We start from the raw sequence: 14,513 nt of genomic DNA on the forward strand, positions 1-14,513 counted from the left end.
CAAATTCTGAGGAAAAATCATTTCTAATTTTTCATCTAGAATTCTATATCCAGTCAGGTCTGAGTCAAGTTTGAGAGTAGAATTAAGATATTTTCAGATGAACGGGCCATCAAGTATATCCTAAATGTAGGGTGGTTTTTTTTTTTTTAAAGGAGTAAGATATACTCCATCGATACAAGAGAATAAACTAAGACAAGAAATCCACGAAAAGAATCCAGCAAAAGTGAGTCAAGGAAATCACCAAGATGATAGTCACATAAAATCAAGAGGCCTGGAGGGCCAGTACAGATATAAAGGCCTGAGGAAAGATTTCATAAAGAAGATAAAATTGACAGGATACCTAATATACAAACCTGAATGTACTGAAATGATTTTACGTAACTTAGGGAGTATCTGATTAATCAGTGGCAAGTACATATCATTAATTCCAAAAAAATAGTATTTTCCAAGAAATTAAAAGTCAACATATACTAAGTAGCTAACCAAAAATTGTGTTGACATTTTAGAAATAAAACTTTTAAATGTTTACTTTAATGTTCTCTCTTAAGTCTCATGCAGGTTAATTTCTCAAATTACTAATGTTTAATAAGTACTACCATTTCAAAAGCACAGTCATTACAAACCACTCGTAATTGACATCTTACTACATACATAAAACAACTTCCATACACAGAAAATTCTGGGAGGGATGGAACTGGCAACCAAAATGAGTGACTGAGGCCACAGTCTCAACCAATCAAGGTTTATTAAGCCAGCTTTAGGGCCCATCCAGGAAAAACCAACACATATGTAACTGTTTTTCCAAAGAGATTTTCAGGAGGTTTCCTATTTATGTGTTTCCTTAAAGCGGGGCAGGCATGTAGGAAGAGGGACAGGTAGGCAGTAACGTGAATGGTTAAATTCCTGTGAGATTTTAATTGGTATCTAGTAAAAACTATATTTTACATAATATTAGGTGAATGAAGGAAAAACAGAGTAAAGGAAAAATCAATTCTGCAGACATCTCTGGGTCAGTGGAAGAATGACTATTCTTGTCTCTGTTCTGCATCTGAGAAGGTAAGATTGTAAATGACATTATCAGTGTGGCACAGAACAGACCTTAGTTTTAGGAGCTTCACTTAGATTGTACACCTAAAGTTACAACTGGCATGTATCTGTTTGTGGGAGACCAGCGAAGCATTTGCTTTTCAGTGATCTGTAGGGGAAGTCTTTCATAGATGCCTGAGGTCTTTTACTTTTACATGAGGATCTGGTTAAGGCATAATGTTAGTAACAGCTACTCACTTGAAAGAGTGTGTTGCATGACTCAGACTCCAGGATTAACTTTCCTTTTGCATAAGGAGTCTGGGGGTCCTGGGATTTTTAATTTCCTTTACAGAATCAAGTCTAGGCTGCTCAGCCACACAGTACCTGGCACAGAGGAAGTAATAAATATATATTTGAATAAATGAAAAGATCATATAAGGAAGTGTCTTCTCTAGATGTATTAAAAGATCTCACTGCCCCTTCCTAAATGCCAGGAAGCACTGTCGAATATCTATCACAGAAAACTAACGACAAGCAGACCCTAGGTATTCCTACTTTAAAATATTGTAACCATTTATAAATGACCCCACAATACATACAGTGACATATAACATATTATTTCACCAAGGCACAAATTTAATCACATATATTGCATGGCTTTTGTGTACAGGAAATAGTTGGTGAACTATTCATCCACAGTTCAAAACATCTATGGATTTCTCCTAAATCTCATCTTTTTGTGATCTCTACTTAGTCTAACATGATCTACTATTTCTAAAGTTAACAAAATGTAACAGAAAAGGTTACTGTTAATACTGTGAAGGAAATGAAGAGTGAGTGAGGTGAAAGAAAGTGATAATATCTATAAATGTCAGGACCACTGCTAATACCAAGCTGTCATATGAAGAACTGGAAAAACCTTCCATAAGAATCCAGAGACATAATTATTAATGACAGAGCCAGGACCAGAAATCAGTCCTAACTTCTAAGCAAATAAACTTTCCAGCATACCTTATTACCCTTTCCTTGAGTTAGCATCTTCTTTTTAAAGACAAAAAATATACTGAGCCCAAACCAGTAATTTTATGTATGTTTTTATTATATATTTTATTATAATACTCTATTTTGGTTTTCATAATACCCCACACTACACTAACTGTTCCAAATTACTTCTTTCTAGGCCCAAGAGAACTCCAGAGCTCTAATGGAGAAAAGTAGATAAGAGCCGTATCTTCCAACAGCAAACAATCCTAAGCATTTTCAGGTCTTAAGCACTAATCAACTTTCAGTCAACATTAAAACTACTTTTCACTGTTGAAACCATGGAGAAAGACAAGTAAATCTTGTTACTAATCAGTCTATGTCCCATTTAATGAAGAAGTTTTGGACTTTTGGTCCTCAGAGCAATGAAAGAATAAACTTCTGTTGTTTCCATCCACCAAATTTGTTGTGATGTTATGGCAGCCCTAGGAATCTAATATATTAAGTTTCACAGATATTATACTGAGTGTAAAAAGCCACTGAATGATTCCAGTTATATTAAGTTCAACAACAGGAAAATCTCATCTTTGGTGATAGAACTGAGATCAGTGGAACAGAGGGGCGGTATAGACTGGGTAGAGGTACCAGGTTAACTACAGTGAGTGAGAAACATGGTAGTTACATGAGTAGATACAAATGTGTCACTGATTTTTTTTTTTTTTTTTTTTTTTGAGACGGAGTCTCGCTCTTGTCACCCAGGCTGGAGTAGGTGGCCCAATCTTGGCTCACTGCAACCTCCGCCTCCCGGGGTCAAGCGATTCTCCTGCCTCAGCCTCCTGAATAGCTGGGATTACAGGTGCCCACCACCATGTCCGGCTAATTTTTGTACTTTTAGTAGAAACGAGTTTTCACCATGTTGGTCAGGCTGGTCTCGAACTCCTGACCTCAGGTGATCCGCCTGCCTGGGCCTCCCAGAGTGCTGGGATTACAGGCGTGAGCCACCACACTCGGCCTGATTTTTTTTTTTTTTTTTTTGAGGCGGAGTGTTACTCTGTTGTCCAGGCTGGAGTGCAGTGGCACAACTTTGGCTCACTGTAACCTCCAACTCCTGGGTTCAAGTGATTCTCCTGCCTCAGCCTCCTAAGTAGCTGGGACTACAGGTGCGTGCCACCATGCCCAGCTAAGTTTTTGTATTTTTAGTAGAGACAGGGTTTCACCATGTTAGCCAGTATGGCCTCGATCTCCTGACCTCATGATCCCACCTACCTTGGCCTCCCAAAGTGCTGGGATTACAGGCGTAAGCCACAGCGCCTGGCCCAATTTTTTTTTTTTTTTTTTTTTTTAAATAGAGACAAGATCTTGGCCATGTTGCCCAGACTGCTCTTGAACTCCTGAGAACTCCTGAGCTCCAGCTATTTGCCCACCTCAGCCTCCCAAAGTGCTGGGATTACAGGCTTGAACCACCATGCCCAGCCAAAAATGTGTTTTTTAAAAACATGAAGAGCTATGTACAACTGACCCTGGAACAATTCAGGGGTTGGGACTGAGGACAGCCCGCCCAGTCGAAAAGCTGAATGTAATTTTTGACTCCCCATAAAATTAACTGGTAATAGCCTACTGTTGACCGGAAGTCTTAACAATGACATAAAGTCAATTAACAAATATTTTGTATGTCTATTATATACTGTATTCTTACAGTAAAGTAAGCTAGAGAAGTTATTATGAGCAAGAGAAAATACATTTACAGTACTGTACTTATTGATTCCTAAATTTCTGTTCTATGGTATCATTCGAAGTTTGCGAGATTGCACTAAACAACATTAAAAATTATGCAAGGACTGCGAGAGATCATTTCTTATTGCAATATGGTATTTAGTGGAGAGGTCAACTACTCACATGGAGATGTCAGCATCACACTGAGTTTTAAGCAGACATTCGCAACATTTGAGTTCAACACAGTAAAAACAGGAGGTGGCTAAAAACCTATCACAGCATGTACTAAAGTTAATTTTATGTAGTTATGAGTTAATACTGCATCTTTATGTTTGTTTATATTTCTCTCTACTGTAAATAGTGCCATGTCACGTCTCTGTGTGGGTAAAGTTCTGATATTTTAACTTTTTAAATAGATTTGTGTATATTTTATGGTAGCAAATGATAAAACTAAGATGTACATATATTTTATGCATTTATGACATACCTAACATTTTCTAAATTTTTAAAAATATTTCTAGGCTACATGGTTCATCTATGAGTTTTTTCAAATTGCTGCAAATCTCTAAAATATTTTGCAATATATTTATTTAAAAGTATCTGCATATAAATTGACTCTCAAAGTTCAAACCCACATTGTTCAAGTGTCAACTGCACAGAAGAATAGTGTATACGAGGGATGATATTGATTTAATTAAAATAAATAAGAAAAAGCCGAAACACAAAAATAGAGTATATCAAAACAATACCACAAAGTAGTTGCTAAATAAATTCCTATTGAAAGACTAAGCAGTTCAGTGTTACCTTAAGACAAGCCATTTTAATCAGGCAGACAAAGATATACAACACAATTTATAAATTTTAGAATGGTCTCATCTACAAAAGCGTATGTATATGTGTGTTATCTCTTAAAGAGGTAACAGGAAAAGAGGTCAAAGACAAGCAACCTTCATTATTTTGATGAGACAGAACTGTTTGGACTTTACCTGGTCTGCTGTTGAGTATCAAAAGAGGTTATTACTCTCTTTATGTTTTGCTACCTTAAATATATGGTATTCATGATAAATTTACCTCTGTTAAATAACATTCTTAAAATTTATGACATATTATAGTTTAATATGTGTAGATTTTAAGACAGGTTTTCTGAGCAGAATTACAAAATAGAGACATAATCTCATATTGGAGGAAAATTGTGGGCAACTACTGGGAAGGAGGAAGTCTTAGATTTATTCAGTAAAATAGTTTGCTAAACTTCTTTCTGGTGGGGGAAAGATTCTTCATAGCTATCTTATGCTGCCAGGTAACTTTTCTTCCGTTTAGCTGAGACAAAAAACGGTTATCAAGCGATAAGATAATGAAAAAGTATTTTTTTCCTTGATAAGAAATACTAGAAATCTAAATAAAGCAAATATTTTAACTTTAGGAAGTATTTTAACTTTTCTCCCTGGATTTTTCTGTCAATTCAGATTATAAGCTGAATGAAAGAGTCAAAAATGTTTGTGGTAAAAATTAGAGAATTTCAAAATTGCTAACACTGAAAAATACCAGATAAACCAAAGATAAAAGGTTCCTTGATTCTATTTAAATGTGAAAAAGAACCATAGTGAAGAGTAACTGATACTGAAAGAATGAAAAATACCTACTTTTACAAAGACATTTGGATTTCTTAAAAGTATGCTATCAATACTTTTTTTTTTTTTTTTTTTGACACGGAGTCTTGCACTGTCGACCAGGCTGGAGTGCAGTGGTGCGATCTTGGCTCACTGCAAGCCCCACCTCCTGGGTTCATGCCATTCTCCTGCCTCAGCCTCCCGAGTAGCTGGGACTGCAGGTGTCCGCCAACACGCCCAGCTAATTTTTTGTATTTTTAGTACAGACAGGGTTTTACTGTGTTAACCAGGATGGTCTCGATCTCCTGACCTCGTGATCTGCCTGCCTCGGCCTCCCAAAGTGCTGGGATCACAGGCATGAGCCACGCACCCAGCCAATACTGTGTATTTTCTAGTATTAAACACTAAGAAAACTGAATCTACTAAACATTCTTAGTAAACAGTTTCTCTTTTTTTAACCTTAAAATGTATATTTTAGTCTGTGTATTATATATTCTCATTTAAAAATATCAATTTAGAGATCTCAAGTCTAACCAGAATCACCATAAGGCCAGAGTTTGTTCCCCGTAATTTTCTCAACTCTCATAATGTGAGCACCGTGCTCAAAAGGTAACTGTGATTCCAGTTACTGACATACAAGAAAAATCGAGATGCAAGAAAATCAGCCTATCAAAATATATATTAAAAATTTATTCTGCTCCGGGCACAGTAGATGATGCCTGTAATCCCAACACTTTGGGAGGCTGAGGAGGGTGAATCACTTGAGGTCAGGAATTCAAGACCAGCCTGGCCAACATGGTGAAACTTCATCTTTCTTTGCTAAAAATAACAACAACAACAACAACAAAACTCACCGGTTGTGGTGGCAGGTGCCTGTAGACCCAGCTACTCGGGTGGCTGAGACAGGAGAATCACTTGAACCCAGGAGGCAGAGGCTGCAGTGAGCTGAGATCAGGCCACTGCACTCCAGCCTGGGCGATACAGCAAGACTCTATCTCAAAAAAAAAAAAAAATTATTCCAACACTAGAGAAAAAAAAAAAACTGTCCTGGATGAACTGACAAACAATAGGTTGGTATTCCCAACAAGGCCTTAAAAGTGAACTGAATTTAAGTGCATTTTTGCTTTATGTGCTGTGCCAACTTTGCAATTTAATCCTCTTCAGGATACAACTCCACTGACTCTGGAAGTGACTAAATGTTAACAGTATGACTTTGTGTAAACATATAGTTACTTAGAAAACCCCACTTAAGAATAAAATTTTTCCTTATATAAAATGACTTTACTATTAATATATAATATCACAGGTACTACGTATCAGATATACCTCATTATGATTAAATCTTTAAATTTTAGTGTCATTATTCATTTAAAAGCTGCCAGTTTACTAAATTATATAACCCTTCTCCATCTAATAAAACCTTATCAGAAAGTACCAATATGAAAGATTAACTATTATGTGATATTAATAAACAGTTATCAATTATGCTTCCTTCAAAGCTTTTATATATCAAAATATGAAACTAGTTCTCACTTGTAATATAACTGGTATTACAAACCATTAGTTCAATTCATGTGGATTCAGCAAAACTTTATTATAGGTGTTTGATTTTTAAATTTTAATTTAGCATATTCTTAGAACTACTGATACTGAACATGACCTTTAAAAAAATCTTTTTATTTTTGTAAGGTGATAGGTACACACAGCCAAAACTTTCAATCATAATCCTCTGGAAGAACTAATTCAGTATATAAACCTAAGACATACAAAACAGTTACAAAACTGTAAAATGAAACTATGTAAGATCATGTTCCTTAAATTTTCCTTAAAATCGTCTCATAACCTAACACAATGAAAAACAACTGCAATGCCCTACAGAAAATAAGCACCTGCAGAAAAAGATACAGTCTGGCAACTGCTGATACTATCAATTCATCACTTCATTCTTAAACATTAAGGCAACTCCTTCCCCTTCCTGTACGCTCAATCCATGAAGTTGAAGAAAACAGAGCTTACAGTGTTTTTGCTGAACTCCCACAACTACACAGCTGAACCCCCACAACTACACAGCTGAACCCATTTCATTCTCTAAAGAAATACTGTCCTTCAGAGAAGAGGCTTTAAAGTGGATTCATGCAGTATCCTGCCCTTAGCGAGAAGTTCCAGATAGGATAACTTCTCTGTGATGCATTTAACCCCTATCAAAAAGCCTCTATTAAAAAATAAAAAAGCCAACCAAAGACGATACTTGCGATTAAATAACACTAAAATAAGAGAAACTTATAACAGTGTTTAAATTGTTATACATGATCATGGAAAACATGATCATGGAAAAAATAACACACATCAAACCCTAATAACAATTAACTACATAGCCGAAGACATTTTAAATCTCAAAGTAACACATAATTCACAAAACAATCAGCATTTATCTTAGTTTTTTTTTTTTAATAATAAACATTTAAAAGTCAGCTGAATTGCAATCCGTAATTGCAGGAAAAATCTATCTCATTTTATGCATGTTTTTCAATGTATTCTTAATATTTTAGAGAGCATGTGATATTATAAAAAAATAATTTAAACATTTCTTTGGCATGTTACTAAAGCATGAAAGGCCTGTCAAGTAACAAGGGGAAAACTGTCTTTTTGGCTGATCATGCTGTGCTGGCAATTTCTCAAACATCTGCTAAAGGTCAGATTTCCACTGCATGGAACCAATCAATGGAATTATACAATTCTCCTACCACTTTAAGAAGCTAAACAAAGAACACTATTTTACATAAGTAATGAAATATAACTTAGCTTTGTAATAAATTGTAGCAAAGCCACCCCCTTATCACAGAATTCACACATTTTAAAAATGCTTACAAAATTCTATTTGCTAAATTTTAACCTGTTTACTGTATTCATCAAATATGTATACAAAACTCTAATTTTCCTTTGGTAAAAACTAAACAATTGATTTTTCAATTTCACACTGCAAAAAGTGCTGCATGTTCAAATAAAATTTTAAGGATGATTTTAACAATAAATATTTATCATTTACTAGTCTGAAAACATCTAACAGTGGGTCACTAAGAATACAGAATCACTTTGCAACTAATTCACATTACTAGGTGACTGAGTTTACACAAGAAGTTACATTGTTAAAACTAAACTTGTCACAGGATCATACTGATTTCTCTGTGATCAAAGTCACTGACGGCACCTACTTTGAAAAAATTTTTTACCCAAACCATCTTGAAAATATTTCACAGCCTACAACTCAGGAAACTTGCCCAATTATTTAAACAAGTAATTGAATGCAACCGGTTATCAAAGAATTGGAAGTTAAATATGTTAAGAAGCATGCTCAATGTACATACATAGATGACGTACTACTATATTGGGTTTTTAAAAGCAGAAATTAAATTAAAGCTCAACTTAAAATGCTTTTTCCTTCAAAGTACCACCCTATGTAGTTAAATACTCAAATTGCTACCAAACTTTTAGTATGTATATTATGGCTATAAAGTGATGATAAAGATTTAAAATATGCCCCTTTTTATAAGCCTGCCCAATTACAAATGAACAATTTTAAATTCTGGATTAAAACACTTTGCCCAATGGCCCTCATAAAATTAGTGGGCAAAATCTGAAAAATCAAGTGACTACACAGACTTGTTAAAAAGCTTAATGTTAACATTTTGATAACACAGTAATCTTGTGCCTCATTTAAAAATATGGTGAAACTGACTAGGAAATGGATGGATACAACTGTCTCTGTGATTATGCTATATTCTACAGAAGTTCCATCATATTGTATATGTTAAATATTTCCTTCCAAACAATGAAAAAATAGAGAATTTACTTCTAATGAAACTTGTATTAAGAAAGTTAGGTCCTAAACAATCCACTCCCTTAAGGAACACTGCAAGGCAACTGGAATAAGCCAGTTATTGTCAACAATTAGACTGGTATCATTTTCCTGTGTAACATAGACAAGTTTTTATTTTTCAACGAACTCAACTATTTCAGGTCATAATTTTGCTCTAATAAACCTAATGACTTTATAGAGGCTTAAAACTTAATTCTAAAGAAAGATCAACATTGAGACTGCATTAAATATTTTCCAAAAATATTCTCATCATAGAAAGATAAATAACCTTTAGCTTTTAAGGGGCCTAAATCAAAATCATATTCTGTTTTATTGTGTTACAGCAGTAGCTCAATAATTTAGGTATGCATCAGAACCTAATTGAGGGCTTTTAAAGCAAACTGCTTAGCCATACTACTATAGTTTCTCATTCAGAAGATCTGAGGCAGGATCAGATAATTTGCATTTCAAACAAAATCCCAAGTAATGCCAATGCTACCTGGTCTGGGGACCACACTTTAAAAATTACCATACTATAGAATACTTATAAAATGCATCCTGACAAAATATCTCATCTATCCTGCATACAGTTTTGAAATTAATCTTCCCTTTAACCACATTTAAGAGGCACTAAGTGGTTATTCAGAAATTATCCCATGATTTTCCACTGCCACTAACATCCAAATTTATTATGTCTGGTACTGAAGGTACAACAAATAAAACAATTAGATTTAATCTCAATTTTCCTTTATGGCTCAAAGGAAAGGATACCTTCACAATTTTTTCTTAAAGCCATGCCAAAACCAGTTAATATTTTCTATGCACTTATGTATCAGACATTATCAGGTGCTGAGTTACAAACAATAAAAGGCTTACAGCAGAGAAATACTAAAAATAAATTTAAAAGGCCACCCTACTGAAAGGACAGACATATAAACAAATAATTAAAATATCATGTGGGGGGGGTTTCTGCTTCCCGTATATTTGAGAACAGCATCAAACATTCCCATGACCATTAAAAATCTAGATAAGGGGCCTGGCATGGTGGTTCATGCCTGTAATCCCAGCATTTTGGGAGGCCGAGGCAGGGGATCACGAGGTCAGGAGTTCGAGACCAGCCTGGCCAATATAGTGAAACTCTGTCTGTACCAAAAATACAAAAATTAGCCAGGCATGGTGGCACGCGCCTGTAGCCCCAGCTACTCAGAAGGCTGAGGCAGGAGAATCGCCTGAACCCAGGAGACGGAGGTGGCAGTGAGCCAAGATCACACCACTGCACTCCAACCTGGGCAACAGAGTGAGACTCCATCTCAAAAAAAAAAAAAAAAATCTAGATAAGGACCAGACACAGTGACTCCTGTCTGTAATCCTAGTACTTTGGGAGGCCGAGGAGGGTCAATCACCTGAGGTCAGGAGTTCGAGACCAGCCTGACCAACATGGTGAAACCTCATCTCTACTAAAAAATACAAAAATTAGCTGGGCATGGTGGCAGGCGCCTGTAATTCCAGCTACTCGAGAGTCTGAGGCAGGAGAATGGCTTGAACCCAGGAGGCGGAGGTTGCAGTAAGCCAAGATCACACCATTGCACTCCAGCCTGGGCGACAGAGCAAGACTCTGTCTCGAAAAAAAATATATATATAGATAAGATATACTTTAAGTTTGGGGGTTTTAAGCCATGTACTAATAAAACAGACAAGAACTACTGAGCCAAGACCTGAAAAGGTGAGAAACCCAGGGAGAGAAATAAGCAAAGCACTGTCAGCTACTTTTGTCCTGGGGTTGAAAGGCCAAGAAATAGACTTGGTGGCTTCTACAGAATAGATCTAAAAAAGTCCAAATCTAGGGTTCCAACAAAGGTAAAGACCCTGATTGAGTTAGAATTCAGAAAGGCTATATCCTGGGAGCAAAAGTAACCCAGAATTAAGTCAGTTCCTTTATGGTCTGCAGTCCAGCTTTGAGTAATCAAGGTGGCTTAGAAAATCTCAAATCACACTAAGAAAAGGATAGTTAATCAGACAATCCCTATCACCAGGCACCTGGATGAAAGAAATACAAATCCTCCATGAAATAAAAAAAAAAAAAAAAAAAAAGGCCAGGCGCGGTGGCTCACACCTGTAATCCCAGCACTTTGAGAGGCCAAGGTGGGCAGATCACAAGGTCAGGAGTTTGAGAGCAGCCTGGCCAATATGGTGAAACCCCGTCTCTATTAAAAATACAATAATTAGCCGGGCATGATGGCGCGCGCCTGGAGTCCCAGCTACTCAAGAGGCTGAGGCAGGAGAATTGCTTGAACCCGGGAGGCAGAAGCTGCAGTGAGCCGAGATCACGCCACTGCACTCCAGCCTGGGCAACAGAGGAGACGCTGTCTCAAAAAAAAAAAAATCACCCCAGACATTAAGTTATTTCTACAACTAATTTTTCAAATGAAGGGCCCAGCACACAATCACAGATAAACAAGTACATGAGAAAATAAGGTGACATGAAGAAAAACCAGCAGAATCAATAAACAACAAAATTTGTAAGTATTTCTGTAAAACTAAATGCCAACAAAAGTACCACATATGAAAATTTGTGAACACAGTGTAAGAATAAAGGGGAAAATCTAAAGGCTCAAATGGGTCTTTAAGGCCCATTTAAAGACTAAAAAAGGGCTGGGCATGGGGGCTCACATTCTGTAATCCCAGCAGTTTGGGAGGCAGAGGCAGGTGTAGCATAGATCGCTTGAACTTTGTAGTTCAAGACCAGCCTGGACAACATGGCAAAACCCCGTCTTCACATAAAATACAAAAATTAGCCAGGCATGGTGGCACACGCCTTTAGTCCCAGCTACATGGGGGGTGGGGGGCGCGGGGCAGGGTCTGAGGCAGGAGGATCACTTGAGCCCGGGAATCTGAGGAGGCAATGAGCCATCTTTGCCCCAGCCTGGGTAACAAAACGAGACCCAGTCTCAAAAAAAAAAAAAAAAAAAAAGGAGGCTGGGAAAGAAAGAATTAGTTAAGAACACCTGACAAAATTAGAAAGAGAACTGCAAAACAGACAAACTCTAAGAAAGTAAAAGGAAAGAAAATAAAGAGCAGAGCAGAAAACAACAAAGTACAAAACAAACAAAATCAACAAAGTACAAAACAAACATTGTATAATGGAGACCAAAAAACCAAAACATGCATTTTTGAAAATATTATTGAAACTGATAACTTTCTGGTGAGACTAAAAAAATCCCAACAAGACAAAAAAATGAAAAACACACTGCCGCAGATCTTAGACATTGCTTATAAGATGCAAACTCAGGCCAGGTGTGGTGGCTCACGCTTGTAATCCCAACACAATGGGAGGCCAAGGCAGGTGGATCATCTGAGGTCGGGAGTTCGAGACCAGCCTGACTAACATGGTGAAACCCCATCTCTACTAAAAATACAAAATTAGCCGGGCGTGGTGGCTCATGCCTGTAATCCCAACTACGCGGGAGGCTGAGGCAGGAGAATTGCTTGAATCCGGGAGGCGGAGGTTGAGGTGAGCCGAGATCGCCCCATTGCACTCCAGCCTGGGCAAGAAGAGTGAAACTCCGTCTCAAAAAAAAGATGTAAACTTAAGATGGCAAAACTATATAGAGCAAAGCAAGAAAATTATTGCCATAAAGTTGGCAATTATCTCTAGGTAGAAGAAGAGATTTGTGATGATTGGGAAGTTGAACTGGTGGAGGTTCTGGAGTGCTGGCAATATTCTAGTTCTTGACCTGGGGGATAGTTACACAGGTGCTCTTCAGAATGATTAGTTGAGTTGTACATTTGTACTTTGTGTACTTTTTGTTATTATTTTGAACTGCTGTGCTCCTTCCCCCCAATTAATATATTGAAGTCCTAACCCCTGATGTGTCTGACTATATTTGCAGATAGGACCTTTAAGGAGATAATTAAGAATAAATGAGATCATATGGGTGAGACCCTGAAGTGAAATCTGATTAAGACTGGAGTACTTTTAAGAGGAAGAAATATCAGAGCTTCACTTCCTCTTTGCTTCTCTTACCCTGTCATACACAAGAGAAGGCCATGTGAGGACATGGCAAGAAAGCAGCTTTCTGCAACCCAGGAAGAGAGCCCACACTAGAAACCAACCCTGATGACACTGTGATCTTGAATTTGTGGCCTCCAGAACTGTGAGAAAATTAATTTCTGTTTTTAAGCTACCTGTCTATGATATTTTGCTATAGCAACCCTAGCAAACTAATACAGTCCCGTTTCACTTTTTAAAAGATTAAAAATACAAGGTGTTAAATTTAAAGATAAAAATACAATGAAACATTTTTTGAGATCATAGAAGAGAGAGACACCATTTATTATAAAAACAATGTGTATTTTAAAAGAAGGGGCTGGGCGCAGCGGCTCACACTTGTAAACCCAGCACTTTGGAAGATCGAGGTGGGTGGATCACCTGAGGTTGGTAATTCAAGACCAGCCTGGTCAACATGGTGAAACCCCAGTTCTACTAAAAATACAAAAATCAGCCATGTGTGGTGGTGTGCGCCTGTAATCCCAGCTACTTGGGAGGCTGAGGCAGGAGAATCGCTTGAACCCAGGAGGCGGGGTTGCAGTGAGCCAACTGCACTCCAGCCTGGGCAACAGAGCAGGACTCTGTCTCATGTCTCATTTAAAAATAAAAAAAAGAACACTTGCCATTTGCTCATGTTAATATGGCAAATAATAGATCTATTTTACCTTTTTCACACTTCTGCTTACAAGATTTCCTCCATCTGGAATATCTTATATTTTCTACTCAGCCCAAGCACTTTTCTTCAGAACATTAATTCTAATCATATATATTCAAAGCAGGAGTCTCTACTGTAGACCCACTCAATGAACATTAAACGTACTGGACTTCCAAACTATATGCTACTTTTTGCGTAGAGAGCATGAGGGCAATAATATGCTTCCTGAATTTGATTACCACAAAAATAAATAGTGGAACTTGGGAAAGTTTAAATCATGGGCACAGAAAATATTCAAATGGATGATATAGCCTTTGCCATTCCATACTAACGAGAGGGCAGTTTAGTGAAAAGGTATTCACATGTACTTTTTACAAAAATTGTGATAAGATGTATAATATAAAGTTAATTTAACCATTTTTAAATGTATAATTTAAGGGCACTAAAATAACTTCACACCCTATGCAACTGTCGCCACTGTTACCAAAACTTTTTTTTTTTCTTTTTTTTTTTGAGACTGAGTTTTCGCTCTTGTCACCCAGGCTGGAGTGCAATGGCACGATATCGGCTCACTGCAAACTTTGCCTCCTGGGTTCAAGCAATTCTCCAGCCTCAGCCTCCTGA

At 37.1% G+C, this 14,513-nt stretch overlaps 1 protein-coding gene across 11 annotated transcripts in view; it reads right to left on the bottom strand.

Annotated features, from left to right (window-relative positions):
• The window catches only part of JMJD1C (jumonji domain containing 1C), a 354,666-nt gene that overhangs the window by 241,354 nt on the left and 98,799 nt on the right, over positions 1 to 14,513 (bottom strand). The window contains exon 1 of one of the 11 annotated variants that reach the window (XM_017015898.2): positions 1,285 to 11,251. The exons of the other annotated variants lie outside the window; for them this stretch is intronic. The gene's annotated coding sequence lies outside the window, so the exon portion shown is untranslated. Of the gene's footprint in view, positions 1 to 1,284; positions 11,252 to 14,513 lie in introns of those variants that run through there. 11 annotated transcript variants of the gene reach the window in all.

This window comes from Homo sapiens, chromosome 10 (genome assembly GCF_000001405.40).
Source record: "Homo sapiens chromosome 10, GRCh38.p14 Primary Assembly".
In the NCBI taxonomy this organism is placed as follows: Eukaryota; Metazoa; Chordata; class Mammalia; order Primates; family Hominidae; genus Homo; species Homo sapiens.